At 37.2% G+C, this 15589-nt stretch overlaps 1 protein-coding gene across 1 annotated transcript; it reads left to right on the forward strand.

The window, feature by feature from the left end:
- The first annotated feature begins 4528 nt into the window (after positions 1-4528).
- Positions 4529-12524, forward strand: OR4F15 (olfactory receptor family 4 subfamily F member 15). Its single transcript, NM_001001674.2, has 2 exons — positions 4529-4599; positions 10477-12524. The coding sequence occupies exon 2, from the start codon at positions 10514-10516 to the stop codon at positions 11450-11452; it is 939 nt and encodes a 312-aa protein (NP_001001674.1). The 5' UTR covers positions 4529-4599; positions 10477-10513; the 3' UTR covers positions 11453-12524.
- Positions 12525-15589: the final 3065 nt, after the last annotated feature.

Consider the following 15589-nt stretch of genomic DNA (forward strand, 5'->3'; position numbering starts at 1 on the left):
ACTGAACTTCAAAATTAGCCATTTTCAACCACCCCCCAACCCCCCCCCCCCAAAAAAAACCCACATTACAGTCAGGCTGAGTCACTATAATACAAAAGTCCCTTCTGTTTAAAGTATCTTTGAAAAGGCCAATCCATTTTTTGTCTCTGATTCTGCTGTCTTCAGCCTTTTTCTGCCTACAAAGCCAAGCTCTTCTGCTCAGCTCATTGAGAACGTTTATTCTATTTGATAGAACGAGGTATTGCCCAATTCTAGAATCACTAATAAAAGCCAATTGATCTTTAAAATTGTAACTTCATAATTTTGACAGTTGTTAACTAGTTATTTGAAAAAAGTGAACTTTAATATAAAAATGTAGCATTTGTAGGAAGTAGCTTTCACCCCTAGAAAGGGGGAGATAAAGGAAAGAGGTTAGAACTACTAGGACTTAAATAAATAAAACACCCCAAACTCTTAAAGCTTGGAGGAAGAACCTGTGGAGGTGAAACTCAAATATCTCAGCAGAGGCGGTTGCTGCCTGGCTGGTGCTAGTGTCTCTGAGCTTAGAGGAGGCCCTCTGTGTCATAACACCCCTGAGGAAGAGGCACCGCTGGCTGGTGCAGGTGTTCCTGAGGAGGGTGTGAAGAGCAGAGCTCCTCTAGCATCGGAAAAACTAACTGGATTCAGCTGCTGCTTTGGAAAACAACCAAGGTTGCTGAGGTGATGAGTGTGGTTGGGTGATGCTGACAGGCACAGCAGGCAGAGAGGAGGCAAACAGGAAGAAGAAAGTCCCTTTTTCTATCTCCAGCCTTGCAACTTCCCTCTAGTATCCCTAATGGTGAATCCAAGCAAGGAGAAGCTGAAAAGAAAAAAGAGAAAGTTGGCAGAGCCCCAGCTCCTGCATCATACAGAGTGTAGACAGACATGTTGGCACTGAAAGTACATGTGGTTACTTAGTAGGATCATAGAGTTTTTGAATTTTAAAGTAAATTATAAATAATTTCAGTCCTTCCTCATTTTGGAAACTCTCGACTACTAGAAAAGAAAGTAATTAGTTCAAGATGATAAAAGTAGTGTATGGAAGATCCAAATCCAGATCCTAGAACCCAGACTGACAGACTCCTGGTCTTCTGCTGTCTTCTATCATTTTAGAACATATTTGCATAGTTGATAAATCTGGTGTTCCCACTGGACTGTTAATTTTTTTACTTACATAAGATATGATTCACCTTGTATCTTGAGTGACTGTCAAATAGCAGAGTTTCAACAGATGTTCAAGCATGATTTTCACTTAATCTATTCAGTCCTATTTTACATTTCTTTTTCTGATTCTTTGGATAGTTTTAAAATGAAGCTTTTATTTTGGAATAATTTTAGATGTACAGAAAAGTTACAGAGATAGTCCAGAGGGTGCCCATATGCCCCTTACCAAGTTTCAGGTTCCCCTAATGTTATCACCTTATATTTCCATGGTACATTTTCCAAAACTGAGAAATCATCACTGGTATAATACATTACTGTAAACTAAACTCTAGACTTTATTCAAATTTCACCAATTTTTTCCATTAATGTCTTTTTATGTTTCAGAATCCAATCTGAATATCACATTACATTTAGCTATTAGGTCTCTTTAATCTCCTCTGAGGTTTGTGACAATTTCTCAGTCTTACCTTGCTTTTCATGGTGTCACATCTTAGAGGAATATTGGTCAGATATTTTGTAGAATGTCCCTCAATTTGAGTTTGTCTGACATTTTTTATTATAGTTATACATGGGTTCTGGATTTTTTAAAAGAATACCCAAAAGATGAAAAGATCTTCTAATCACGTGATAACAGGGAGTACATAATATCCACACAGCATCGCTGGTGATGTTAAATTTGCTTAATTGGTTTATTATTTGATCTTGATACAAGAGAAGTGACTTCTTAGATGTTACATATGGCATCTGCATTCTTTCTTCCTAATTAAGCTCCCCCAAGTTATCTATGGGATAGATGATGGTTTGTTGTAATTTGAGTATGTAACAGATTTTTCTTGGGGGTATGACTGGGGTAGAGATTTTCTTGGCATATAGATTTTTCTTGGGGTTCATTTCAACTCCATCCCACCACGGTAGGATTGTAAAGGCAAGCTGTGTACATGATTGTTCTACGTCCTCTTCTCTTGCTCCTTCTTTGATTCAGTTACGTTTTGCTTCTATACAGATGGAACTCTTGGCCTCTCTCTTTTTGAGTTTCCTAGTCTTATGACTTCAGAACTGATGTTTGTATTTCAAATCTTTGTCTATTTATGCTTAGTTTTCCCTAGGAGTTCTCACTGGAGAATCTTTGGCAGTATAACCATCTTAGCCGGTTCCTAGTGCCTCTATATTTCACCCTCTGGCCTAATTCTGTATGAGTGGGCATTTGAATATTTTGTCATGAATTTCTGATGTGTAATTGCTAGCACAGCAACATGGATGAATTAATGACTGCTCTTTAAAACCCTAAGTCTAGGGTCAGGACTATGGAGAAGAACATGATATTTGTGCCCCCACTTTGATATAATTTCTGGGGTTGGAACTATTCATTAATTTAGATCAGTCATTGGCTTTATTTGCAGTTTTTCCCATACCACAAAACAGTGGTTAATAAAATAATTCTCACTACTTCAAAAGATCAATGCCTCATAATGCTTTAAAAGACATGATCCTTGTCATTGCTGATCTCTAGGGAGACAATGTCGAAGGTGTCCACGGCAGTGTTGGTTTTGGTATAGGGAAGATATGATCTTCAAAATATTAAACAACTGCATTGATCAGAACAGATGCTGGTCCCAGAGTTGGAGCAAGATCCTGGAGACTCCTGCTGTTCCAGGCATTAACTTTTAGTAGCTGATTCATAAGGAGTTCTGAGGAAGCAACTTGGAAGCGGTTGGAACCTTAAGAGGCTTGTGACAGTGGCTATATTCTAACCAGTGTGCAAGTATTTTAATTTTTTACAACTGGTATTATTACATTGGTGTCTTCTAGCTAAATATTAACATTGTTGGTATGTGAGGGTTGAAGTTAGAAGCAAGGTCCAATACTTGCTTAATCCAATCAGTGACCCTGAAAAACTTGGGGGTGATCTGAGTACTCAGAAAGGCAGAATGTGGTGCATACCCACCATGGAGTGCTCTGCAGTATTTAGAAGTGATATACTAGATGTACATATAGCAACATGAGACAAGTGGAAAAAAAGAATCAGAATGAGATATAGAATACCATTTTCTATGTATATGCATACAAACAATACTACATGTTTCACGATAACACAAAAGCAAGACACACTTAAAAACACCAGAATGACTGTCTTTGAGAGAAAGGGATTGAGAACGGAAATTAAAGGGGATAAACAAGAAAAACAAGAGTGCTTGTTGTAACCCAGTGATCATTGCTTGTTGATCAATTGATCAATGCTTGTTGTAAACCAATGATCATTAAGCACCATGGACAGAGACACATGATTACACCTAAGGTTAGAAAACCACACAAGTCCCGTTGCTTCCTCTTAATATTTTGAAATCAATCCTTATTCATATTATTCCTGCTTCCTGATGACAGACACAGTAAAAGATAATGGAATTACTTCAACAGCTGGATTCTTTTATTAAATTCAATGAATATAGTCTTCTTTGATTACAGGAAACTGCAAGTTGCTTTGGAAAAAATGAATGTGAATTAGATAAAGCCTATATCTTCAAAGTGCTTGGTACAATATGCTACATTTATAACTTATAAAAGTCACATTATAAGATACTAAAATTTTTTATAGCTTACTCTTTTACTTGCCTACTTTATTCATTATAGATAAAATTTAAAAGGATTCCATATGATTTTTATGAATATCTTGGGAAGTGGATATTATTAGATTATCTAGAGACACTTTCATTTATCATGATAGGATTTAAATTGTTAAAGATTGTGTCCTTTGCAGGGACATGGATGGCGCTGGAGGCCATTATCTTTAGCATACTAACTCAGGAATAGAAAACCAAAAACCACATGTTCTCACTTATAAGTGGGAGCTAAATGATGAGAACACATGGACACATAGAGGGAAGCAACACAAACTAGGGCCTATTGGAGGTTGGGAGGAGGGAGAGGATCAGGAAAAATAACTAATGGGTACTAAGCCTAATACCTGAGTGATTAATCTGCACAATAAACCCACATGACACACCTTTACCTATGTAACAAACCTGCACATGTACCCCTGACCTTAAAATAAAAGTGAAAAAGAAAAATAATCCAGAAAAATATAAAGTGGTGGAGATTGATTTTTCTTAGAGATTCTAGAGTCATTCCTTTCTCCTGTGACTCATTATCAACATTTCTTCTTTGTTGCTTTGCATGTATTTCTAGGAGACAATTTCTTGGCTCATTGACTTTAGAGTTGCAGTCCCAGGTCATTATAGCTTTATTAGGTCACTATCCTCCAGTGCAGTTAATTAGCTATTTTTCCATTTATATAAAGATTTTAAATACCTCTGTGTGCTTGAGATGATAGTCTGTAAATAGCTACAAGGTAAGGATGGCATGAAGTTCACAATGGGAGCATGATAAACTAGATAAACTTCAGCTGCAAGAAAGACTCAGGTAACAGTTTGTTAGCCTGGGGCAGAAAGAAACAGGTGGTTGTGGTGGGGAAATGGTGATCACAGGAAAGGCATAAATATGAATTACCTGGAAAGGGAGAACAAGAATTAACCTTAGTTTTTAACTAAAACTTAGAAATGACTTGGAGATCCAAAGGTGCAAAGGAGTACACTACAGAGTCTGGAGTCTGCACTGTGGCTTGGTTCAGGGCAGGACTAGGATGCATGTAAAGTTGTTTGTGGTATCCAGAGACTTTTGGGGAAATCTATTAGCCCTGAAAATGAAGACAAACATGCTTGTTGTCTTCCTAACAAGCTTGTTGTTTACTTCTATTTCTAGAGAAGACCCAAGATATAAAAAGGAGAAAGTTCATCAGATACTAGTCATAAGTGAAGCTTTAAAAGATGAAATTCCAGTTTCATGGACTCAAGATGGAGAAGGAATAATTGAAAACATTTGGAAGAAAAACATCTGGGTTTTTAACTCACCCTGAACTAAAAAAATGTAGTGTCTGTTAAAATTAGTTGATTGAAGAATGGAGGAAAAAAAAGTAGGAAACTAAATGTGTAATGTTTAACAACCTGCAATAAATCCTCCTATACTTGTTCATGTTTTCAAAACATTTATGATAAATTTTTAGGTCTATATAATGAGAAGTTTAGGTAGTGAAATGGAGTGATTAGACAAAAGTGACAAGATAAAGAGGTAGAAGATGGATCCTTTGAGGAAGGCTAAAGCAAATTGAGGTGAATAAAACTAGAGGGTACAGATGAGTGATCTTTATTTGCTTTTACCAACATCAAGGATATTAAGCACTTATCTGACAGAGTACCTGACAACTTCTTTATATCCACAGGGGATGAATTAAGTGGATATCAGCTTAGTTGAAAGGATGGAGATTTCCTTTTTGTAAGAGAACATTTGGACTTTTATGTTAATGAGAAGCAGGACACAGCCGGGCACGGTGGCTCATCACCTGTAATCCCAGCACTTTGGGAGGCCGAGGTGGACAGATCAGTTGAGTGCAGGAGTTCGAGACCAGCCTGGCCAACATGGTGAAACCTCATCTCTATTAAAAATACAAAAATTAGCCAGATGTGGTGGTGCATGAATGTAAATCCAGCTACTCGGGAGGCTGAGGCTACAGAATCGCTTAAACCTAGGAGGTGGAGGTTGCAGTGAACCGAGATTGTGCCATGGCAATCCAGCCTGGGTGACAGAGTGAGAATCTGTCTCAAAAAAAAAAAAAAAAAATGCATGATACCTGTTCATAATAGCTAAGAAATATATTTTTGAACCTTGAAAACTGAGGGAAAAACTGACATTTCCTGGATGGGTAAATAAAGGAACTGGTTCAGAACGTAGTCTCAGATCTTTTCCAGCTCATTGAGTTTATTGATTGAGAATAATGAACATCTTTTTAAGAAAATTTTAAAATGTAGTGATCATAAATCTATTCTAAGAAGTTGCCCAATTCCGATCCCATGCAATTCCAGTTAGGTGAATTTAAATTTAAATGATTCCATCAAATGCTAGACTATCTGTATTTGTCACACTATCACAATTGTTTAGTGTAAATAGATGATAACTATAATTCATGTCATTGTAATTATTGAGAGCAATAGCCAGGCCAGAACTAGGGAACTCAAAGCAGGATATCTCCTAATGGCAATGGCCTTAGGAGAGAACACATTCTTTCCATGGAGGGTTTGGGATGCATCAAAATAATCAAACACTTATAACCCAATGTGTCATCCTGGAAGCCATTCAGCGACCCAAAGATGAATACTTAATACTTAAGAAATGTGAAGACAAGAGGACAAAAGCTGAGTAAATTTTTAGATCTGCTGCCATTTGCTCTTTGTATTATTTTCTCATCTTTGCTTTATGAGGGATTGTGAAGTAGGTAAATTTTGTGTTTAGCTCAATTTATTCTTTTACTCAGTTCTGGCTTCATTCCTGCGACTCTTATTCTCCTACCCAGCCCTTCAGCTATTACTCTGTCTCCTGAAGCAACCAGCCCTTGATAATCCTTCTTGGGTAATGACTCAGCTTAAAAATGGATCACTTATTTCTTCATCATTAAGAGTCTCATGTCTTGCATGCATGCGATCTCCACTAAGGAAAGCCAGCTGTTATTTTTTTTGTCTGCAATGCTCAATGGAGTATCCTTCCTGTAGCAATGTAAGCAAAACAAGGGACTTTAGTATCTTAACCTAAAGGAAAACAACTCTAATGCTGCAGTTTTTTAACCTAAAAGAAAGCAGCTCTAATGTTAAAGGAAATATTTTGGGGCACTGGAGCTTTTAATATTGCACATCTACACAAACTCCTACTTTGCTATTTCTTCCCCTTTATCACAATTTTCCACTTAATGAACCATCTTAGTCTCCTGTTGAATTCAATAATTCAATTTCCCCTTTTCTTTTTTTCTCATCTCTTTCCTTTCTGATTTAAAAAATGTATTTAACTTAAAAAAATCCACCTTGCCCTCTGTGTAGGCTCTGTCTTTGAGTAAACTTTACACAGAATCTCATATTTTTTGAATGACCTAATAACCCTCTTTTAGTTTTGTCTTTTCCTTGTAAATTCATTAAAAGTGAAGTTTACCACTATTTCTTTTGTTATTCTGAGTTGTCAGTTTTTGCTATTCAAATTTCAGTTTGGAGGAAGCACCACATATATTTCTACTTCACAGCATATTTTTATTATTCCTACTTCATGGAAGCCTTAATAGCATCTTTGCTAGAAGGCTGTTTTTTCTCTTAGTGATCAGAAGGATTTATTTTTGTCTTTGTTACCCATTTCTAGACAAGTGTTTGTCAGTTTATAGTTCAGGTCATGAGGATTTAGATGTAAATCACAGAATGGTTTGCACAACTCTTACTTAAAATTGCTCTGATAACCTTAGATTCTCATTTTATCTATGTTCAATTTCTTATTAAACATAATGTATATATTTTCACCTTTATATCATCTCTAAGGTTTAGTGCATTGTTAGGCACTTGATAGATACAGCATAAATACTTGTCGAATGAATGAGTGAATAAGCCAACAAATCTCCCCAGCATTGTTTTTGAGTTGCTTTACAGTCAATACAAAGAATCATGGTATGTGAAACATGACCCCACCAGTTTTATATATATATATATGTGGGGAGATAAAACCAATCGTATTTATTGGATAAAACCCACTGGAAAATAGTGTAATAGAAGTTATAGTGGTAAGAATTCAGATAAAGGAAGAAGTCAGAAAACAGATCTCCTGAAAGTAGAAATTAGAGTGAGACTCCCCAGGTAGTTGATAAATTATAGACTTTCTTCAAATGTTCTTACCCTTTCTGTAGAATGAAAATCTGTATGTGACACAAAAATTGCATTTGCTGTGGTGAATATGGATTCCACAAAAGCAAGAATTCTTGTCAATGCTATATGCCCAACCTCTGGAATTGTATCTGGAATCCTGGGCACTGAAGATATTTTTTGAATTAATGAACAAAAATCATTCGGAGAACCACTCAGGAGATAATTATATACCTAGAATAACTATTTTTTAAAGAACATGTTGGTTGACTAATGATCATTGTTTCCTTATTGATAGTCATTAGTGGCCATGCTTGGTCCTACATGTAACTGGAGTCAGAAGTCACTAATGTGTAGTTACAGAGCAAAAGTCAGGATGCACCATCTGTCCCCATTCCCTCAATATCTCTTCCACCTTCCTGACAGGCTACTTGAAATCCCTCTGTCAGATTCATTACTTTAAGATTTTCCTTTTCCCCCTAAAACACCTGTTCACAGTAAGAAAGCTGTGCTGTATAGAATAATGGCCTTCAAAAATGTTCATGTCCTAATTCCTGGATCTGGCAAAAAGGTACAGATATGAATAATTTAAGAATCTTGATTTACTTGGATTATCTGGAACTTCCCAATGAATTACAAGGGTCCTTATAAGAGGAAGAGTCAGAGGAGATGCGATGACAGAAGTTGAGGTTGGAGTGATGAACTTTTAAGAGGCAGAATGTCATGAGCCAAGCAAGGGATGGAGGCATCCTCTAGAAGCTGGAAAAGGCAAGAAACGGATTCTTTTCTAGAAGCTCCAGGAGGAATGCAGCTCTGTTGACACCTTGATTTTAGCTCTGAAAACTCATTTTATTGATTTTAGCTCTGAAAACTCATCTTAGGCTTCTTTACTTTAGAACAGTAAGAATATAACGTGTGTGTGTGTGTGTGTGTGTGGTAAGCCACTAGATTTGTAGTAGCTTGTTACAACAGCAATAGTAAACTAATGTAACAAGTATTTACTGTAAAGAACTTTGAATGGGAGTAAAAAGTTCTTGGTCCCAGTATAAATTTTCCCACCAATTACCTTTGTGAGGCTGAGTAGATTGCTTCCTATATTTCTTTCTTTATGAATTATTTATAAAACATAAATGTTGGACTAAATCAGGAACACTTCATTGAACAATGAAACTCTAATGGTTTATTTCGGGCAGTTGTTCTTCATCCTTAAAGAATCATAATATTGTCACACCTCCCCATGCTGGGACCTGGCCACCATTCTTTAGTTTATTTTCTGGACTTAATCTCCATTACTCAATCATCATCTTCTTCCAGAGTGCAGATACAGACACTGTCTGGTTCTTTTCGGTCCATATTTTATTTCTGTCCCTTTTATTCGCTCCAAATGTATTTTGATAAAAAAGAGAGACTGCCTTTATGTGACATGGTTTTTATCTTATGGTATCCTCTAGGGGTGTATTATCTACATTAGAGGAGATTATTTGTTTCAGCTCATTACATATTTTATATAAAAATTGAGATTGAAAATCATTTATAAAATGAAGTGGTTTCTTCCATTTTGAACCATATTAGAAGCCTTTTATTGACTATTTAAAATGAATAATAAGACCCCATATTTATTTTTATGACATCTTATGCAAATGTTTCTTTGAGTGGTTAAATAAGTACAGGATTGAAATAGGGATACTGTGATAATTCCTGACTGGCATGCTGTTAATATACTATTAATATAAACCTTACTGAATTATGAGGTACTCTCTTGACTCCAGTGTCATTCTTCAGTCTCATTAATTTACGCCTTCATTCAACAAGTGTGAAACACTTATTATGTGACTGATTGTGTTGGTCACAAGTGGTGATTGTGATGATGGTGGGAGCTACCGTTGTGGATCAGTTACGGCTTCTATACCCAAGAGTCTACATTTTAATTGGAGAAATGGACATTTATATAACTGTGAGAAGCAGAGTAAAATAAATGCTAATGGTGCGATGAGAATACAGAGTCTGGGGCACATTGGGAAGATTTCACACATAAGCGAGAATTTGGCTGGGATTTTGAGAATTAGATTTTGTGAACTGGAGAATAGAATAAAAGAAATTTTGAAATTTAAAAAAGGAAGGGAAACTTCTAAAGTCTAATCAAGCAATATAAATAATAGAATAGAGACTTTGAAAGCTGTATGCTGTGCATGAGTAATTGTTAGGTGGCTCATGTGACTGGCTGAAATCATATCCATTGATAAGAAATCATAGTGAAAAGTATTTAAAGATGACCTTATATCTCACCCAAATAGAACATCCTGGGAAGGATCAAATAGGAAATATTCATGTAACACAAAAGCAGAGGAGAGCTAGGTCTAAGGATGGAATTAATTTAGTAGTAGTAGTTTTGAAAACCATAATGCCAAATAGCAGCCAGCTGACCCCTCTAAGTGGAAGTCCAGGGTGCATGTGATGAGGGTTATTTGGCTGTGTAAGATGTTAATATGATAGTTATTTTCATGGCTGGAGGCTTTCTTTCTTGAACATGAATACTTGCCTAGGTAATTCTTTCTCATTTTCTTTCTTCCTTCAGGTAAGTAACATGAAAACTGATCTTGGAGTCTGAGGCAATGAATGGAATGAATCACTCTGTGGTATCAGAATTTGTATTCATGGGACTCACCAACTCACGGGAGATTCAGCTTCTACTTTTTGTTTTCTCTTTGTTGTTCTACTTTGCGAGCATGATGGGAAACCTTGTCATTGTATTCACTGTAACCATGGATGCTCATCTGCACTCCCCCATGTATTTCCTCCTGGCTAACCTCTCAATCATTGATATGGCATTTTGCTCAATTACAGCCCCTAAGATGATTTGTGATATTTTCAAGAAGCACAAGGCCATCTCCTTTCGGGGATGTATTACTCAGATCTTCTTTAGCCATGCTCTTGGGGGCACTGAGATGGTGCTGCTCATAGCCATGGCCTTTGACAGATACATGGCCATATGTAAACCTCTCCACTACCTGACCATCATGAGCCCAAGAATGTGTCTATACTTTTTAGCCACTTCCTCTATCATTGGCCTTATCCACTCATTGGTCCAATTAGTTTTTGTGGTAGATTTACCTTTTTGTGGTCCTAATATCTTTGACAGTTTTTACTGTGATCTCCCTCGGCTCCTCAGACTTGCCTGTACCAACACCCAAGAACTGGAGTTCATGGTCACTGTCAATAGTGGACTCATTTCTGTGGGCTCCTTTGTCTTGCTGGTAATTTCCTACATCTTCATTCTGTTCACTGTTTGGAAACATTCTTCTGGTGGTCTAGCCAAGGCCCTCTCTACCCTGTCAGCTCATGTCACTGTGGTCATCTTGTTCTTTGGGCCACTGATGTTTTTCTACACATGGCCTTCTCCCACATCACACCTGGATAAATATCTTGCTATTTTTGATGCATTTATTACTCCTTTTCTGAATCCAGTTATCTACACATTCAGGAACAAAGACATGAAAGTGGCAATGAGGAGACTGTGCAGTCGTCTTGCGCATTTTACAAAGATTTTGTAAATGGCTTGGCTGTCAAGATGTGTAACTATGGATTACTCCTCATGCTGATTGCATAAAAGAAACTGCAATTTCAGAGAAATACTGAAGACTCAGGCCATACTATATGCCTGAAAATTTATGAAATCATGGTAACAATTTCACCATTAAATTAGAAGTGATGTTATCCTTTGGCACAGTGTGCATCAAAGTGCTAAATATTAAATCTTAATGTCTTTTGTAACCTACCACTTTGAAAGACCTTGTTCTAGGTGAGTGCCATGTAATTGAACAAATAACAATACTATGTCTTTTATTTTTTCTACTGGACAGATTATTCTATTGATAGACAAACTACACATTCAATCTGTTTACCACCTAACTCCTATTTATTTATTTATTTAGTTAGTTAGTTACTTATTTGAGTTGGAGTCTCGCTCTGTCACCCAGGCTAGAGTGCAATGGCATGATTTCAGCTCACTGCAACCTCTGCCTCTCCGGTTCAAGGGTTCGAGTAATTCTCCTGCCTCAGCCTCCTGAGGGCTGGGATTACAGGCGCCCATCACAACCCCTGGCTAATTTTTGTATTTTTAGTAGAGATGGAGTTTCACCATGTTGGCCAGGCTGGTCTGGAACCCCTGACCTCTAGTGATCCACCTGCCTCGGCCTCCCAAAGTGCTGGGATTATAGGCATGAGCCACCGCGCCTGGCCTGTTTAGTATCTAGCTCTCTTGATTTTAATTCTTTTTGTTCCTAAAGTGTTTGCTTTCTATTGCTCCAGTCTCTACATATTTTTGCCACCTTATCAGGCTTCTTTGGCCATCTACAAAATTGTTAGTCCTATATTTAGAATATTCAAATTTAAAGTTAGAGTGGATTACCAACACCATCTGTTCCAATCCCCTCAAATTACACGTACTAAAATCCAAGAATTGAGCAGTGACTAGTTTGCCCAAAGGCACATAGCTGGAAACCATCAAAGAGAGCCAGGCACCAGAAACCATGACTCTGATTGCTAGGTCAGTGCCCTTTCACTTTCAGATCAATTTTGTTTTTGATTTGATGTTCATATTCCACTCTTCCATCTTTATCATTTCTGAATCCTTCCCTACTTCTACCACCACCACATATTTCTTGTTCAAGTCCTACCAAAGCTGAATTTTAAATCATTCCTTTAATTATGAAAACAATTCTTGAACTTTATTATTAAACAGTGTTCTTTTGTCTATGGTAGTATTCACAGAGACCCTTGATTCAATTCTATTTTATAGGTTTGAAGTTCATTCCATTACTTACAGCGGATGATGTTTCTTCTCTTGGGAAACAAAAATGTGATTGGTGAATTACATAAGTTACACTAAGATATTTATGCCTCTTTCTCAGAAGGATAAATTTCAAATATTTTAGCAAAAAATTGAAAGATTTATAAAAGATGTGTGAAAATTCTGTTTCCCAAAATTCTGTGGCTTTTAATCTAACATGGTTACTAAAATATAGAAACAAACCTATTAATTGAGGTTTCCATCGTGAGGTAATGAAGCTCTGATCATCTCTCATCGTTTGTGTCCTAGGGGAGATAATAATTGATGTTACCCATCCAGTGCTTCTAATTGTCTAGGTACTGTTCTAGGTGCTTTATTTGAATCTTATGATGCAGATTCATTATCTCACTATCCCCATTTTAGAGAGGAGGTGTCTGGGGCACAGAGTTGCTAAATATCATCAAGGTTATGAAGTAGTAAGTGTGGACGCAAAGTCTGCTAGTTTGAATTCAGAGTTGGTTCTCAAAACCCGTGCACTACAGTGCATCTCTGGCAATAAAACGTATCAGGATAGCTCCTTTACTTAAAAGCAGTCCCTATTTGTGGGCCCTCTACTGGGTGACGTCATTACCACCAAACCCAGCATTTATGGGGTCAATTAATTTACAAAAATTTTTTGTATATGTATACCCATTCAGCCGTTTTGTTGTAGGCTGTCACTACAATCAGGGAAGTTGAAATGCCAGAATTTCTCCGATATAGAGGAAAATGTCTAAAGTCTCCAGAAGATATTAAATAATTCCTAACTCTACCTTTCTTGGAGGGGGTGGGAGGACATAGCATCACCATGGCTGATTTAATAAATGGTAGAAGGAAGGACTGTGCAACAACTCTAAGTACACATACACATAGTAATGATCTACCAGTACTTTGCTCAAACTTACCTATGACCATTTATTTGTAGAATTAAACACCAGGAAAAATAAGGAATATCACAATATTTAAAGGACTGTTGGACTCAGAGTTGACATTTACTCCCAGATTCCTGAAGGGTCATCACTGCTGTTTTGAGTGGACACATTTGGTAGTATGTAGAGTCCTAGTTCAGATCAGGTGCATGTTGGGTTCACCAAATGACAACCTCCCAGTGATCCTTACATCATTTCCTCAATGTATAATTGGAAAAGATATACTTGGTAGTTTGTACAACTCCACACTTCTTCCTTGTCCTGTGGGTTACAGTTATTATGGTAGGGAAGTCACCAAAACTGTCCTATCCCCCAGTATAAAATAGTATTTTTCTTTTTTTTCTTTTTTTGAGACAGGGTCTCGCTCTGTTGCCTAGGCTGGAGTGCAGGGGCACGACCTGCAGCCTCCACCTCCTGGGTTCAAGCGATTCTCCTGGCTCAGCCTCCCAAGTAGCTGGAATTACAGGCGCATGCCGCCACACCCAACTAATTTTTGTATTCTTATTAGAGACAGGTTTTCGCCATGCTGATGAGGCTGGTCTTGAACCCCTGACCTCAAGTCATCCACATGCCTTGGCCTCCCAACATGCTGGGATTACAGGTGTGAGCTGCCATGCCCAGCCTAAAATAGTATTTCAAAAATTATACTTCATTATGAAGGGGTAAAAATATCCCAGAGATACAGAAATAGTTCCCATTCTATCTCCATTTAATTCACCAGTGTGTCACCTATGAAAGCTAGTCACTTCCTGGAGAATGCCAATGGACTATTGTAAACTTATCCCAGTAGTAATCTAAATTGCAGCTACTGTGCCAAAGGTGGTACCTTTGCTAGAGCAGATTAACATAGACCTGGGTATATAATATGTGATCATTGATCTGGTAAATTTTCTCTTCCATCTCTTTCACAAAGTAGAATTAGAAACAGCATTCACTTGGAATGGACAACATATACGTTTGCTGTCTTACTGTACCATAAAATAGCCTGAAGAGACTTGAACCATTTGGATATTTTATAGATTGTCTTAATGGTCGATTATATTAATAACACTATGCTGTCAAACCAGATGAAGGAGTGGCAAGTATTAGATACTTTAGTAGTACACATATGCTCTCAAGAGAAGGAATAAACTCTATAGAGAACTGTGAAATTGTCACATCATTAAAATTTTGAGTTTGATGGCCCAGTCCATGCTAGGAGGTCCTTTTCAAAGCAAAGGAAAATGTTTTTTCCTTCTTTAAAATTTTTTTTATTTCAAGTAAGTTTTGGGGTACAAGGGGTTTTTTTTTGTTATATGGATGAATTATATAGTGGTGAATTCTGATATCTTTGTGCACCCATCACCTGAGTAGTGTGCATTGTACCTGACGTGTAGATTTTTACCCCTAGCCTCCCTCCCACACTCCCACTTCTGATTTTCTAAAGTCTATTATATCACCCTGTCTGACTTTGTTTACTCATAGCTTAGCTACAACTTATAAGTGAGAACATAAAGATTTGGTTTTCCACTCCTGTGTTACTTCACTTAGAATAATGGCCTCTAGCTTCATCCAAGTTGCCGCAAAAGACATTACTTCATTCCTTTTAATGGCGGAGTAGTATTCCGTGGTATATATATTTTTTATCCACTCATGAGTCGATGGGGGCTTAGGTTGGTTTTCCACATCTTTGCAATTACGAATTCTGCTGCTATCAATATACATGTGCAAGTATCTTTTTCATATAATGACTTATTTTCCTTTGGGTAGATACCCAGTAATGCGATTGCTGGATCAAATGTTAGATCTACTTTTAGCATTTTAAGGAATTTCCTTACTGTTTTCCATAGAGGTTGTACTGATTTACATTCTCACCAGCAGTGTATAAGTCTTCCCTTTCCCCCACAACCGTGCCAACATCTATTGTTTTTTGACTTTTTAATAATGGCCAT

The sequence above is a fragment of the Homo sapiens genome, chromosome 15, assembly GCF_000001405.40.
Source record: "Homo sapiens chromosome 15, GRCh38.p14 Primary Assembly".
NCBI classification, from domain to species: Eukaryota; Metazoa; Chordata; class Mammalia; order Primates; family Hominidae; genus Homo; species Homo sapiens.